The 16,177-nt window shown below is 43.0% G+C and overlaps 1 long non-coding RNA gene across 1 annotated transcript in view, besides 2 other annotated features; it reads left to right on the forward strand.

Annotated features, from left to right (window-relative positions):
• Positions 1-16,177, forward strand: part of MIR3681HG (MIR3681 host gene) — a 571,233-nt gene that overhangs the window by 132,567 nt on the left and 422,489 nt on the right. The window lies entirely within an intron of this gene.
• Positions 10,267-10,467: a silencer, noted in NCBI's record as "peak3593 fragment used in MPRA reporter construct". NCBI's record gives its function as "represses an SCP1 promoter by STARR-seq MPRAs in K562 erythroleukemia cells {active_cell/tissue: K562}" and the evidence as "EXISTENCE:reporter gene assay evidence [ECO:0000049][PMID:32103011]".
• Positions 11,817-12,017: a silencer, noted in NCBI's record as "peak3594 fragment used in MPRA reporter construct". NCBI's record gives its function as "represses an SCP1 promoter by STARR-seq MPRAs in K562 erythroleukemia cells {active_cell/tissue: K562}" and the evidence as "EXISTENCE:reporter gene assay evidence [ECO:0000049][PMID:32103011]".

Below are 16,177 nucleotides of genomic sequence, written 5' to 3' on the forward strand. Positions count from 1 at the left end.
TCCATCCTCCCTGGCCTTCTTCTTTGCATTCCCCGCAGCTGGAGCTTTCAGACAAAGCTTAGGATACGCACCCTTTCCTGGAAAGGATATGTCCATTTGCATGGTCAGTCTCAAGGTAAAAGCTGTTTGCATGGCTTAAGTATGGGTCACACACAAACTATAGCTTCTGTTCTGGCAAAGATACACAGTTTTTGCTTTGCACAGAAGAGATATTCACTTTGAGAAGGGTGTGTGCTTGTGTGTGTGTGTGTGTGTGTGTATGTGTGTGTGTAGTGAGGGAGCCCAGTCTGGGTCTCCTGGACATCTGACCACCACTGGGCTTCACTTGGCACATCTGGCACATGCATGGGGCCTCAGCTTTCTGAAGAAAACACAACCTATGAGAAGAGAAAGTTAATTAGGGACAAAGGTTTAGTTAACTAACAGAGCCTGAGGGAAGAGCTACTCAGGATATAATATGGTGTGTGTCACTTGGATTGTCCTCAAGCAGAAAACTGACATCATTACCGCCATGATGGACAGAAGGAGCTCTGCTCTGTTGCCCTGATTGCAAAGTGTGAGGTTGATGGGATGAGGTAGGCCTTCTTTTTGCTTGAGCCCTGCTGGTCAGCTTGGCTGTACAGAGGGCTGGACCTGGAGGTTCCTGGCCTTCCCATGGCCCCTATGAGAAGCTGGCATGTGGGTCACCCTCACGGTGGTGGCTGGAAAAGGTGACACTGCGGCAGGTGGGGGGAGGGAGGAGAAAAAGGACGTAGGTCATGAGATACGTGACAGGGTATCCTGCAGTATTTCCAAGACACTCTCTGGGGACCTTGAGAAATAACACCAGGGTGAGATGGGCATTGCAGGGAACTGAGGATGTCCCTCTAGAGCTGGAAACAAAGCCTGTGAAATGCAGATGCTATGTTAACACCTGGAGAAACAGGCTACATGTGAAATAGGTTAGTAAACTTAGGTAAGGTGCAGATAGACCTGTGTTCAAATCCTACCCTGCCATTTGGAGCTCTGTGATTATGAGGTTCTTAACCTCCCATGCTTTAGTTTCTTCAGCATAAAAATGAGGGAAAATAATCTGTCCTTGCAGTGTTGTTTTGAGATTTTGAGGTAATGAATTTTAGGAGCATAGCATAGCATAGCAGCTTCAATGAATGTGGCTATTCTTATCATTATTTGTGCTGCATTTGACACCAAACAGCAAAGGCAGTATGTGGTTTATGTCTGAATTCCTGATACATGGCACAGTACTTGACCAAACTCACCTTTATTCACTCACATGTATGGATGAATACCTAAGCATAGAGCAGTTGGTAAATAGGAAGGTCCTGATGTCTTTATGGAGGTACTTTCCTAGCAGCTGGGGAGCTGGGAAGTGTGTTCCTTCCCTTTCCCCAGGGGACCCTCCATTTGGGCCTCTGGCCTGCTGCCCAGGGCTCTGGCAGTGTGCTGCTGCTCAGAGCTGTGGCACACTGGGCAGACATTCTTACTCTGGTGTTTTCAACTGTGCCACTGATTCACAGGAGCCGCAAATGTCTTTCGGAGTATTTTCAGAATCCCTGGATCCATAACTTCATTTTACCTGTCTGGATCTAATTGGTTTAGCTTGAAAGAATCTTCTGAGGTTTCTTTTTTGTTTAGCCACATTCATTGTACAGAAGGAGTCAAATGAGACCAATCATCAAAGCACTCTCAAAGCCTGTGGACAAAGCTGGGTTAGACTGCGTGCATGCATATTTGTGTGTGTGTGTGTGTGTGTGTGTGTTTGTGAAGGGGGTTGGGGTGAGTTTGCTGAAAGGAGAACTGCCATGGCCATTGACATTCTTGCATTTTCCACAAGCCCACTGGGGCCTCAATTCCCAAGCTCTCAAAATCCAACCAGATGGAGAACCATGATCCAGAATTTGTGATTGCTGCCAGATATTTGTCCTTTAAAAAGCATCCTCCAACAAAATGCAGCCCCCCCATAAAGATGCATTCACACAGTGCTGTGTCCTTATGCACCCCTACATATGCTCATCCCAATACATCTCTAGAAGTCCTGGAAATACTGTTTATGTCTTTTTTATGAAATAAGCTAAAACATTAGTAATATGCTCAAATTTTTATCTGATCAGCAATATTTAATATGCTATTTTTAAGTTTAGAATAGAATACATTGGACATGACAAATATGATTAGATTTAGTGATGTCATCTTTTTTTTCAGACTATAGAAAAACTGATGAAGCAGGGAAGATACTGCCTCTTAACATACATTCTGTCTCTAGAGTTCCCTGCAATTGTTTTGAAGTCTTTATATCTCCATCAACGCATAGGTGGTGCCCTTTTTCAAGACATTGGATTGTAATTTGACATCCTCATGTTATTTAAGGCTAAGTGCACTAGCACTTTATCTACTGGAGAGAAAAAAATGAATTAAAATCTAAAATTATCTATGAAAGGCAAGAGTCATTTTGCAGGGACTTTGCTCTGTGACCATCAGATGAAAACTGATGACATAAGCCTGCATATGCTAATGCTTTGATTCAATGAAGCACAGACAATTTTTGAGTCTGTTTACTTTTTTTTTTTACAATGTAATGGTGAAAAAAATAAGGTGTTATTTAATTTTTGAAGAAGCAGTAAATGCAATCTTACCGAAAGATGCACTTCCTGTGTAATTCTCAGGGAGGGTGCCAATATCCCCTGTCCCCAAGAGGCAGCATTTTTTGGGAGATGAGGTCCATCAGCAAAGTCACTCATTTACTGACCTGTGTTAGACCCAGGGCTGGGAGTTGGGGACACCCAGTTTCTGCCCCAAAGGGGGACGGTGTAGTTAGGAGAGCCAGACAAAGGAGCCATTCATCATGGTCCGTGCAATAAACAAGAAGGGAGATTGCACAGCAGCGTGCAGCAGGATTCTAATCAGGGCCACTGTCAAAGCAGGAACAAATCCTGTCTCCAGAGGCTTAAGGTTTCCTCTCAGCCTCAAGAGCTTCAATGTCCCGACAAAGAAAATGAGGATTACAATCTAGTTTAAAAGTGGAATCTAGGAAAATAGATTTTTCTAAAAGGAAATCATGCATCTTATCAGATAAAGGTATTTAGAGCGAGGTGGCTCCAGTGAAGAGATGTTTGGTTAAATATCACAGACATAAGTATGTCTCAGAAACCAAGCATCTTTTTCTACACACCAATGGACTTGGTTTCCTCTATTGCTATGACTGTTATCCTTGTCTGAAGGCCTCTAAACATTATTCATATCTTTCTTCTAACAGCATATAGTCCAGCTAATTAGCGATTAGGTAGTGGCAGAGACAGGGGAAACATATTTTATTCCTAATTACATGTTTGATCCTTCTGAGACACTCCAGCAAAGAGAAATACCTTCTTCGTGCAGACATGGGGTTGCATTGCTTTTTTCCTTTCTTTCTTTCTTTTCTAATTTCCAGCCATATCCTAGGACCATTTTCTGCTGGGCTCCTGCCAAGGTACAGTTATTCCTATGGAAATCATGTCTGCTGTTTAAATCTTCACCCTAGGCTTTGAGTGTCTCCTGTCTAAACTTCATCTTCTGATATCAGGGCTTCTAGGTGCTATACAATGTCTAGGGTTAAGTTCTGAAGATTCCAGGGGTGGTTATCTGGAAAACATCCTTTGTCAAATCAATGGCATGGGGAACTTTAACCTCAAACTCTAAAGACCTCCTGACTCAATGATTTACAAACGGATTCAACAAGGGCTACATCTGGCAGTGGCTATCCTGGGGTCTATTGGTGGGAAGTCTTCACCATCAAAGGTAATAGGACCCAGCGAGCTTCCTTCTCGCTGGATCAAGAAGAGGCTAAGGAGGAGTTAGAGAAGAAGAAGACAATGTTCCCTTGTCCTGCCCTGGAATCCCAGATCCAGGAATCTCTTTAAAGCACTAAATGTGTCATTTAAGGGACATCATCAATGGATAACTTTATTTAAAAATCACATATTGTGTGCCTAACATGTTTCAAACACACTGACAGGCCAGCAAATATTAAAGTGAGTTGTACATGGTCTTGATCTGGAGGATCACATGGGAAGAAATGATTGTAAGGGAATGCACCACCATTTTACATGAGATATTCATTGGCTGCAAGGGAAATACATAGGGAGGGAAAATGCTTTCTGGGGAGTTTCAGAAATTGTCATTGCAGAGGTGAGTTTTGCATGAGGATATTGCTTGACTGGGATTTGGAAGATCATATGTTAATAGTTTGGGGAGATTTTTAAGCTTGAAAAGGGAAAAGCAGTGGGCAATGAAGAGGTCCCAGGGTTTATGGGGGGCACAGGGAGAAGTGGGGGTCAGGAGATGTGGCTGGAGAAGAAGGCAGGGTCACGGCACAAAGGACATCAAATGCCAAGTTGCAGAGCCTGAGCTTCATTCTGAAGGTGATGGAAAGTCCTCAAGGGAAACAAAGGCAAAGCAAGGCTTTCCTTTCACCACTGTAAGAAGTCACTTGGACTTTCTGCTCCATGGAGGGCCACAAATGAGCCGCTCCTCAGCCCCGAGCAGGGCACAATGAGCAGGTGGCTCTGCAGAACCCACAGCTTTACTTTCTCAGCCTCAGGACACATGGTGCCCTGGCTGAGGAATGCCTGCACTGTGAGTAGAGCTGTGATACAGGGGACTTGGCCTTGGGATAGAAATGTCACGGGCATATGGAAATCACATCCGCAAGCATCACCCTTTTCAGCAGCTCAGGCGAGTTTTCTGGGCCAGTTTCTTGGTCTTGATTCAATTTACAATTTCAGGACATGGGACGTATATTACAATCCTGGGATTTAAATGAAACCTTTAAAAGGGTAATAAAAATAATGAGCCTGTTTCTAGCCTTTCCTAGTGAATTTCATTCAGCGGAACTCCTCAATATTGGATTCAGGAGAGCCAAGTGAACTCATTATGAAGTACCTCACTCAAGATTTACTTCCAGTTTTCATCTTATGTTTAGAAGCATACAAGGCTTTTGGTTAAAATATGTCCTAATTCAAGTTTGGAGTGCACACCTGTCTCTACCTGCTGCCCCACACCTGTCGGCATCTACTCTCTTGGGTGTGCTCTGTGTTGAATACTGGCCTGGGAACTTGCTCATCAGTTGGATTCAGGGGTTCAGGACCACTTGGTAAATGGAGGGAGTACGATCCTGGGGGACATTGGAACCTGAGAGAAATGGCCCTGCCACTTTCCAGCCAGCTGCATGCTGCTGGGCCAGGTGTTTCTTAACTGTGAGCTAGAGTTTTGAGCAAACTGGGGCTATTATACCAAACTCTCCTGATGCGAGGGTGAGAGAGAATGGGAGAACGTCTGCAATACCACCCTAATAGATTAATTATGGAATACTGTTTCCCTTGCTCCCTACCCCACACTCGGTGACTGCAGATTTCCTGCCTGTTTCTTCTGGCATGGAAGCTTGTCATTTTGCTCTGAGTCAGTAGAGATGGAAGAAGGATACATTTGAGGAGAGAACTGTGTCAGCTTTACTGATGAGAGGTTCTTATACACTGGGCTAATTGAATTCTCTCTCTCAAACTTCACTGAAATCCTGACATTAAAAAGTGCTCAACCATCAAAGTGGATCAGAATTGTCCCCGTGGAAGCCATGTACCTTCTGGATTCAAATACAGATGTTGTCCAATGAAGTTAAGGGTTGAAATATAGATACCAGCCTGGTAAAGCCAAGTGAGGGAAAGGACAAAGGTGGAATTTGGCTTGTAAATGTAACTGGGAGTGAGCCACCTCCCACTCCTACCTTGACTAAGGTGAAATTGGCTGTCTCCAAGGGTGATCAGGAGGACTTTGGTGCAGAGTGACTGAGCAATCAAGGGTGAATATATGAGATGCTTAAAATGAGATTCGTTTCTGGTTTTGAGCCCAGTACTGCACACCAGACTGATATATGCCTCTTAAACCTTCTTCTTCCCGGCAGTCTCTCCCCATCCAAACTGTCAGTCAGGAAACAGAGATACCCTGTGCTTTCCAAGAAAGAAAGGGTGTTCATACAGGGAAGCAGTGGCTTATAGAACCACTGGACGGCTGGGAGATCCAGTCAGGGAGGCCACACCAAGGCCTGCAGCCTGCAGCAATGAAGATGGGCCTCCTGGGAAGTGTGCTTGGCCCCTGTTTGAACCACTCCTTCCACACATTTTCCGGCGGGCACTGTCTTCTCTCAACTTTCCATGCCTCTCTAAAGTCGCTCTCCCTTTCATCTGGAACCCAGAACCAGCAGGAGAAAGGGGACCTGGGAAATGCAGTTCCTGGTTCCTCTCCTGCAATGCAGAGGCCTGAGAAGATCTGTGAAAATGGTCTCTCTCCACTCTCACGGGGCACTTCTGACACTGCATGTACGGTTTTTTCCCTCACACTGACTGATTCTCTGATGCCATCTGGGTGTCCTACTATTTAATTGAATTCTAACTCCATTTACCTGGAGTTAGTATCAGATCCTGCAAGGTAAGTCTCAGTCCTGCAAGACCACAGTCCCTTCCCATGCCAGTGGCAAATCTGGTCCTCCCGTGCGGTGGACTGACTGGCTGTAAATCGGAAATTCCCACCACCGACCCCCTCCTCAGGTTTGATAATTTGCTAGGATGGCTCAAAGAACTCAGGGAAACAGTTTACTTGTGTTTATGGGTTTATTATAAAACATACCACAAAGCAGAGAGATGATGGGAGAGCTGCAGAGGGCGAGGGATGGTGGGGGCTTCTGTGCACCTCCACGTGTTCAGCAGCCTGGAAGCTCATCAAGTCTCATTGTTCAAGAGCTTTTATAGAGCTTCATCTCCAGCTCACCCCAGCCCCCAGAGGTCAGTGGGTGGGGACGAAAGTTCCAACTCTCGAATCACTTGGTCTTTCTGGTGACCAGTCCCATCCAGAGGCTATCTTGGGGCCCCAACCTCAGTCATCTCATAAGTATAAACTCAGGTATGACCAAAAGGGACTCATTATGAATATCAAAGGATACACCTGTCACTCAGGAACTTCCAAGTGTTTTAGGAGCTCTTTATCAGGGACAAAGACCAAATATATTTCCTATCATACTACAGAAGGGGTCATGGTCATGCCAATGCCATGGTCATGACCTACGGCCCAGTGCATGGCCCAGCACATGCTTGGGGACTCTAGCAACAATCGGAAGGGATCGCTTCAACAGGCAGCCGCCTGTTCAAAGTCTCTCCACTGTTTATCTCAGAAAGTACAGCGGTAAGAGCTTCTGCAACGGTCTTCAGTCTCACCTCCCACCATGGCCTCTTGAACTTGCCTCTTCCGTGAGTTTGCATATACCTTGCAGCCTTCCTCCCCGACCCCTCTGCAACCCTGCCTGGAGGATTTCCCTTTATTCACACACTTCCTTTTCCCTATACTAGTTTTAAAAAATGCTGCTTAGTCTTCATGGAGAACTCAAATGCCACCTCAAGCTTGGAGTAATTGCATTGTAACGTAATAAGCAATTTTTTTTATTATTGCAATCAGAAATGATTTCTATTCCTTATGAAGCCCAACAGTACTTATTGTGCAAGCATACATATGGGAGCCACTTCTCCTCTAACCTTGGAGACTCATGATTCATCTTTTTTTTTTTTTTTTTTTTTTTGGAAACTCAGTCTCCCTCTGTCACCCAGCCTGGAATACACTGGCACGATCTTGGCTCACTGCAACCTCCGTCTCCTGGGTTCAAACAATTCTCCTGCCTCAGCCTCCCAAGCAGCTGGGATTACAGGTGCTCACTATCATGCCTGGCTAAATTTTGTATTTTTAGTAGAGACAAGGTTTCACCATGTTGGCCAGGCTGGTTTTGAACTCCTGACCTCAGGTGATCCGCCCACCTCAGCCTCCTAAAATGCTGGGATTACAGGCATGAGCCACCATGCCCGGCCTTCATGATTTAATAGAAACTTTTTAATACTACTGTGTTTCTAAACTTTGAGGCTATGAGTTAAATCGTTCAGAATAAAATTATTCAATGTTTGAGTTTGAACTGTTTTTAGAAAGCCTGATAAGAAATCCCCCTCTCTTCAGAAAAGCACTGAATGTTCCGATGAAATAGTAGACACCAAAAGAAAATCATGCAGATTGGTTAAATGGCATATACAGTTATAGATATAGGCAAGAGTGTAATGCAGTTATTCTGAATTACATTTTACTGAACTGAGAAATCTAAGATGCCATTCATAGTATCTTCAATGTCTACGTGTATATTGTTTTATTTTAAGGACCACGTAGTATTTCTGAACGCTTTTATAGATTCACTTCCAATGACTATGCCCTAAGTCAATTTTACTCATGAGTTCCTAGGTTTCTTAATGGGAAGACTTCTTTCTTGCGGTTCTCAGAAGTAGAATTCTCCCGAATGAGGGGTGTACATATGTACATCGCAAGTGCAAAGTGACACTGAGTTTGGAGGCGCACTCACATCCATGATCCCAAAGCCTCTGGGCCCCTATTTGACAATGTCACACATGGTGTCCACCCATGGGAATAAAGCGTCCCTGTGAAACATTCATCAACTGAGCCTTCCTGTACACTTGACTCACAGTGATAACTTGGCTATGGAACAAAAGTGGAAGTTTCTATTCTCCAGATTACCTTTTGGGTGAATCAAGCTAGTGCAAAATTATAGCTTTAAAACATATATAAATGAAAAGAAGGAAAGTGCTGAGAAAAATGTCTTTGAGAATCTATCAGGTCCAAACTGTTTGAAGAGCTGGTAGATTCTAACGCTGTATCCATTGGACCAGCCAGCCTAGAGGCTTGGATACGATTGTTATGGACATCCTCCGAAACCGTGGATGAGACTTCATCATATATACAAACATATATAAATATATACACATTGCATAATGCACATATTCTAGAATGTCCTTCCACACAGAATTGATTAATTTTAGACAAGTCATTCCATCCAAGTCTGCTTATTCTCCTAAACTAGGACCAGTGTGGGAAATACTAAATTAGTAAGCGATCCAAAATAAGACCCCAAATTTCCTACCTCTCACCTCATGGCTGTCTATATGAAGTTAATTTTTTTTCCTTTCTTCAGATACGGAGGTGGAAAAGCCTGGCAGTTTTGTGAAGTGCGACATATGGTAGAATCTAGTATCTAGATTGAGAATACATAGTTACTTTCAGGCAGACCCTCTGGGGTAAACTTGAATCTCTCAGGGTCTCAATTTCTTTAACAATGCAGATGTAGCCTCTCAGGGTCATTGTGTGAGAATCAAAGGGATAAACTTAGTGACATAAACTGTGTATTTTTTTTTTTTGAGATGGAGTCTCTGTCGCCCAGGCTGGAGTGCAGTGGTGCGATCTCCACTCACTGCAACCTCCGCCTTCTGGGTTCAAGCAATTCTCCTGCCTCAGTCTCCTGAGTAGCTGGTGTTACAGGCACATGCCACCATGCCTGGCTAATTTTTGTATTTTTGGTAGAGGCGGGGTTTCACCATGTTGGTCAGGCTGGTCTCAAACTCCTGACTTCGTGATCTGCCTGCCTTGGCCTCCCTAAAGTGCTGGGATTAGAGGCGTGAGCTACTGTGCCTGGCCATAAACTGTGTTTTATATAGCTTCCACAGTTATATATTTGGTAACTCAAGATTTAATCTTGAGCTTCAGTTAAACTACCTTCCTCTGTTTCTTGGTTGAAACAACTGACTCCCCTCCCTCTCTTCTCCTTGTAGGACAGGTGAGGGATACATGAAGCTAAAACCCCGAGTAACATCTGATTCCCTTTGGAAGTCACGATCACTGTCAGCATCAAATTATGTATCTGACAGACCTCATGGACACTCTCCTTATTGAGAAGTTGGTAAATGTCAAAAAGTAACTACTAAAATAATTGAAAATAAGAGCAAATCTGAGTTTCTTGGCATGCTCCACAGTTCTGTTTGCATTACTGATCTTGGAGATCATCTTTAATAGGATGGCTCTGTATTGGGAATTCTCAACTTCTCTCCCTTATCTCAGGGACAATTCAAGCCCTGTAATTGAAGTTCCAAGAAAATTAAAGTCATTCATCTCTTTTTATCTCTAATGTAAAAAATATAGAAATACTGTAACTTTTGCGGAATAACCCCCACAACTGCACAAAATTATAATAATTGTCTCTGTTTGTCTTCATTTAACCAGCTGGGAAGATAATCTGGTGAACACAGCAATTTTCTAAATTCAGAGATAGTTAATTCATGAGAACAGCTGTTGCCCAATCAAACCCCAGTGCTTCTTTATTTCATATGAAAAACCAAACTAAGTGCAGGCTGCCACACAGCCCAGGAGTGCAATAGGGGTCTGCTCTTCTGAAACAACAGCCCATTTTTCCCTTGCAGTGAATCACTTTTTTGTTGTTTCCTGGAAAGTTCCACTAGATAAAGAAAATCTGAGGTTTGGGTTCACCAGGAAAAGATGTATGATAGAGTTTTGGAAGACAGCCCTGTCACTTTCTTGTACAACGTCATGGGCTTATTCAGGAAGAAATTCCCAAGCAATCATGGTAGCTCACATGACTGTGTTTCAAAAATGTTTCAACTTAAGTTTATTTAAAATGGTGTTGTTAACTGTGTGTGTGTGTGTGTGTGTGTGTGTGTGTGTGTGTGTGTGTGTGTGTCAGGGAGGACCTGGAGAATCTTAAAATGTAGAATTCTGGGTTTTTGCCTCTTAGATTCTGAATCTGTCGATCTGGGTGGAGCCGGGGAAGCTGCATTTTTGTCTGTGCTCACCAGGTGATTCTGATGCAACTTCTGTTGCACCTGCTTCTCCCCATGCGCACCTGTTAAGCTGCAGATTCCCTGCTCTGCTGTCTACTTTTGGGCACTCCAGCTTCTTTATGTCTCAGGGAGGTTTTGCTTGGCTCTGCCCTTTGCCTAGAATGCTCCCAGCTCTTCACATGGCTGGTTCCTTGTCAACATGTGGGTTTTACCTCAAATGGCACCTTGTCACAGAAGCCTTTCCAACTCACTTTCATTAAGTAGCCTCCCCTCAACTCACTCTGGCTCCTGCTGGCTTTGTTTCCTCCTCAGGTGTCAGCACTGTGTGTCCTCTTGTTTCTAGACTGTAACCGCCATGAGAATGGGATCTCATTGCTCTCACTACCAAATGTGCCTGGCATATATCAGGAACCTTGTCAATGTTTGATAATGGAAATGTGAATAAATGAAACATTATCTTAAAGGCAGGAGAAAGTGGGTTTCTGCAGGTCAGAGTTCCAAGCATTCTCTGCTTATGAAAATGCTTTTTAGAATGATTCCTTTCATCTTTAAACATATTGCAGTGAATTTTGCCTTCTATCCCACAATACAACCCAGTTTTTAAAATATAAGATTAATTCTTAAAAGTGCTTACCATGAAATAAAATCAACATTCCAGGAAGATGGGCCACGTCAGTTTCCCAAATTCCAATATCCATGGCACATCTCCAGATATATTAGGGAACATGAATAACTCAATCAAAGAACCACTATATAAGGATAGGGCCACTCATTTTAAAGCAAAATATAGGATCCTCCAGAAACATAGAACCAAATTATAGAAGGACACTGTCTGGCTCCAGGGGGGCTAGTGATTGGGCAGCCCTGACTCTGCCATCCTGGGTCTCAGCCCAGGCCCTCTGGGGCCCCACCCTCTAACTGCAGCACCCACTGCCATGCAGAGACCCAGGTGAACCCTGCTTTCCCACCCCATTATATTTTGACTGCTTTCCCACCCCATTATATTTGCCTCTGGTCAGAGGCATTAAGACGCGCCACATCTTCAAAATCCATATTCAGAGCCTGGGGAAAAATGAATAAAGAAAATGGAAAAAGAATACATTTTGTCTGGCTTACTGGTTACTGGTTTCTGACCATTGCATGGACAATACACTTGACAGCTGGTGACTTCACTATCTCCTGTGTGTCTTCTTCCTCTGGACAGAACGACATCATTGCACCTAACGGCCCACACTTGCTTCTGCTACTTTGCCTGACTCTTCATCTTTCGATGTCTCATTCCAACAGAATGTGAACTGCATGAGGGAAATTGTTCATTGCCTTCCCTCCTGGTGTATTTTAATATCTGGGGTGGGACCACGGATCTTGTATCTTATCATCAGCCAGATTAAGTATCCATTGTCCAGACACCTAACCGAGGTTGACAAATGACAAACTTTAGTTTCCAAAATGCTGCCTCCCCTTCAGTGCTCTTTTTAGAGGCCAGACTGAGGTGATTAATACAGCCTGCTGTGACCTGCCCTTTGGGTTAGAGCTCTCTTAGGGGAGTGGCCTCATCCTTACGACGGGAGCAACATTCCTCAGACCACGACCTAGAGAGCATCTGTAAAACAATAACAATAATAAAAGACATTCCCGTGGTCAAAGGAAAGTTGTCTTATCTGTTGTTAATTTATAATCTGATGTTTATAATCTGAAAAATAGGGGCTGGGTTCCAGGTGGCTGTGTGTGTATGTGTGTGGCCATTCATTAGGGGTGTCTTCTTTGAACAATTATTTATTGCTTCTTCTCTCATCTGTTAAGAGGCATTAATAGTTATCTAATAGAAATGTTCTAAGTATTAAATGAGATAATTCATGAAAAGCAGCTAAATCAGTAGCTAAATCAGTAGCTGGCAAAGTAGTTGTTAAGCTGGGTGTGGTTGCTCACGCCTGTAATCCCAGCACTTTGGGAGGCTGAAGTGGGAGGATCACAAGGTCAGGAGATGGAGACCATCCTGGCTAACATGTTGAAACCCCGTCTCTACTAAAAATATGAAAAGTTAGCCAGGCGTTGTGGCGGGCGCCTGTAGTCCCAGCTACTCGGGAGGCTGAGGCAGGAGAATGGCGTGAATCCAGGAGGCAGAGCTTGCAGTGAGCCCAGATCACAACACTGCACTTCATCCTGGGTGACAGAGCGAGACTCTGTCTCAAAAAAAAAAAAAAAAAAAGAAAAGAAATAACTAGTTTATGTGGTATGACCAAACTCTAACTTTAGGAGTATCTATAGTCATTTCAAAATTAAAATGTTATGATTTTAGGGGAAAATCTCAGTTTTTGAGATAGTGCCATCTGGTCTTATGAAAAACAGAAAAAAAAACTGGGTTCTCATTGAATATGGCATTTTGAATGTAGACATTTACCTCTACTCTCCCTGTAGCACTATTAAAATGGCATTAATCGCAAAAAAATAACAGAACAGGAAGGGAGAATATATCAAAAGACTTGGAACCAGAAAGCTGATGGACAGGTGATAATTGAATTTACAGACTTTAAAAAGCTTAATCCCATGGAAGAAATGGGGAAAAATAAAAAGGAAAAGCAGTTTGCAGTTCAGAACCTGAGGAAGCCTTCAACATTGGAGATAGTAGATATTTCTCAACGTAGGGTTTATGATGGAGCCGAAAACAGGCAGAGAGGTTGAAAGGCTGTGTAAATATCAATTAGACTCCCATATCCCCAAACACACACAGGCGACTGTCCCTCTCTCATGTGACAGAACTCTGCAGGAGTATTTCCTTTCTTCCTTTCTTCCTTTCCTTCCTTCCTTTCCTTCCCTTCCTTCCCTTCATTCCTTTCCTTCCCTTCCTTCCCTTCCTTCCTTCCTTCCCTCCTTCCTTCCTTCCTTCCTTCCTTTCTTTCTTTTCTTTCTTTCTTTCTTTCTTTCTTTCTTTCTTTCTTTCTTTCTTTCTTTCTTTCTTTCTTTCCTTCTTTCCTTCTTTCTTTCTTTCTTTCTTTCTTTCTTTCTTTCTTTCTTTCTTTCCTTCCTTCCTTCTTTCTTTCTTTCTTTCTTTCTTTCTTTCTTTCTTTCTTTCTTTTCTCTCTTTCTTTCGTCTCTCTTTCTCTCTTTCTTTCTTTTCTTTTCTTTTCTTTTTTTCTTTTTGAGACAGGTTCTCACTCTGTTCCCCAGGCTGGAGTGCAGTGACATGATCACAGCTCACTGCAGCCTCAAACTCCTGCTAAGTTATCCTCCCACCTCAGCCTCCGGAATAGCTGGGACAACAGGCTCACTATATTTCCTAGGCTGGTCTTGAACTCCTGGGCTCACCCGATCTGCCCACCTGGCCTCCCAAAGTGCTGGGATTACAGGCGTGAGCTACCATGCTTGGCCTGCAGGAGCATTTTCTGGAAAGAATAAATCAGAGGAAAACATTTTCATTTAAATCTTGTAGATATGTGTCACTCTGAATTTTCCTTCCTGGTCCTTCATTGACTTTTATTCTTCTGTTTACTTTTAAGAAAACATTGACAAACTTTATTTTTAGAGCTGTTTTAGGTTCACAGCAAAATGGAACAAAGTACAGAGAGTTCCCACTATGCAGAACCTCTTCTACTATCAACATCTCTGAGCAGAGGCACGTTTGTTATAGTTGACAACCTACCTTGATACATCATCATCACCCAGAGTTGATAGTTTGAGTTCACACTTGTTGCTGTGTACTCTTTGGGTTTTGACAAACATATAAGAACATATCCATTGTAGTATCTTACAGAATAGTTTCACTGCTCAGAATATCCTCTGTATTTCACCTATTTATCCCTCCCTCCCAGCTAATCTGCAAATCCCTAGTAACACTAATTTTGTTACTGTCTCCATGGTTCTGCCTTTTCTCAAATGTCATATAGTTGAAATTATACAGTACATAGCCTTTCAAATTGGTTTTTCTAAATAATATGCATTTAAGTTTCCTCCATGTCTTTTTATGGCTTGATAGCTTATTTCTTTTTTATTTTATTTTTTGGAGCTGGAGTCTCACTCTGTCGGCCAGGCTGGAGTGCAGTGGCATGATCTCGGCTCACTGCAACCTCTGCCTCCTGGGCTCAAGCAATTCTCCTGTTTCAGCCTCCCGAGTAGCTGGGTTTACAGGCACACACCACCACGCCCAAGTAATTTTTGTATTTTAGCAGAGACAGGGTTTCCCCATGTTGGCCAGGCTGGTTGATAGCTCATTTCTTTCTAGTGCTGAATAACATTGTATTGTCTGGATGTACTACCGTTTATTTGTCCATTCACTTACTAAAGGAAATCTTGGTTGTTTCCAAGTTTTGGACATTACGAACAAATCTGCCATAAACATCTGTGTGCTGGTTTTGGTGTGGGCCTAAGCGTTCAACTCATTTGGATAAATACCAAGAAGTACAATTGCTGGTTCGTATGATATTTGTATGTTTAGTTTTGTAAGAAACTATTGAACTGTCTTCCAAAGTGGCTGCACCGTTTTGCATTCCCACCAGCAGCAGCTGTGAGCTCCTGCTGCTCCACATCTTTCCTCTTGTTGCTGTCAGTGTTTTGTCCCTTGGTGTCCTAATAGGTGTGTTGTGGTATCTCATTGCTGCTTTAATCTGCAGTTCCCTAATGTCACATGATATGAAGCACTTTGCATACGCTTATTTGCCTTCTGTACACCTTCTTTTGTGAAGTGTCTTTTGAGGCCTTTTGCCTATTTTAAAAATCAGATTGTTCATTTTCTCATTGCTGAGTTTTAGGAGTTCTTTGTATATTTTGGATAACAGTCTTTTATCGGATATGTCTTTTGCAAATGTTTTCTCCCAGTCTGGGGCATGTCTTCTCATTCTGTTGATGTCTACTTTTAAAATCTTTGATTATACAGGGTTTTATAGCTCTCCGCAGTTTTTCAGACTTTCATGATATCCATGGCTGTAGCTACCTACAAAGGCTGCTGACTTTTAAAAACTTTCACTTCCAAACCTGACCTTTCTCCTTTGCCTCAAACATTGAGGAACATTCAGAAGCATACCCTACTGTCCACTTGACAACCCCACCCAGTGCCCCACAGGCCCTTGGTATACCACATGTTACAAATAAACTTACTGTTTTTCCATTCCCAACGCCTTCTTTGCATCTCATTCCTTATCTCAGTGTCTTGTCTTACCTCCCACTGTTTCCCCCAAGCTACGAGACTTTGAGTAAATACTTCCTTCTCCCTCTCCTCCCTCCACAATTTGTTATTCGTTATTAATTCTTTCCTATGTTTCCCATTTTGTCCAAAGGATGACACCAAATAAATATGAAAAAGTGCCAGGCCTGGAAGAGTTTGTGGTCTTTCCAGGCCACTGACTTATGAACAATTCTATGGCATCGGGACAGAAATGCTTTGAAATATGTATCTGTGAGGTTCCACAGGACAAAGAGAAGGAAGTGACTAACCTCTGGGTGGAGAGCAATTTGGAAAGTTTTCCGAGAGTGGATTATATTGC

Source organism: Homo sapiens, chromosome 2 (genome assembly GCF_000001405.40).
Source record: "Homo sapiens chromosome 2, GRCh38.p14 Primary Assembly".
NCBI lineage: Eukaryota > Metazoa > Chordata > Mammalia > Primates > Hominidae > Homo > Homo sapiens.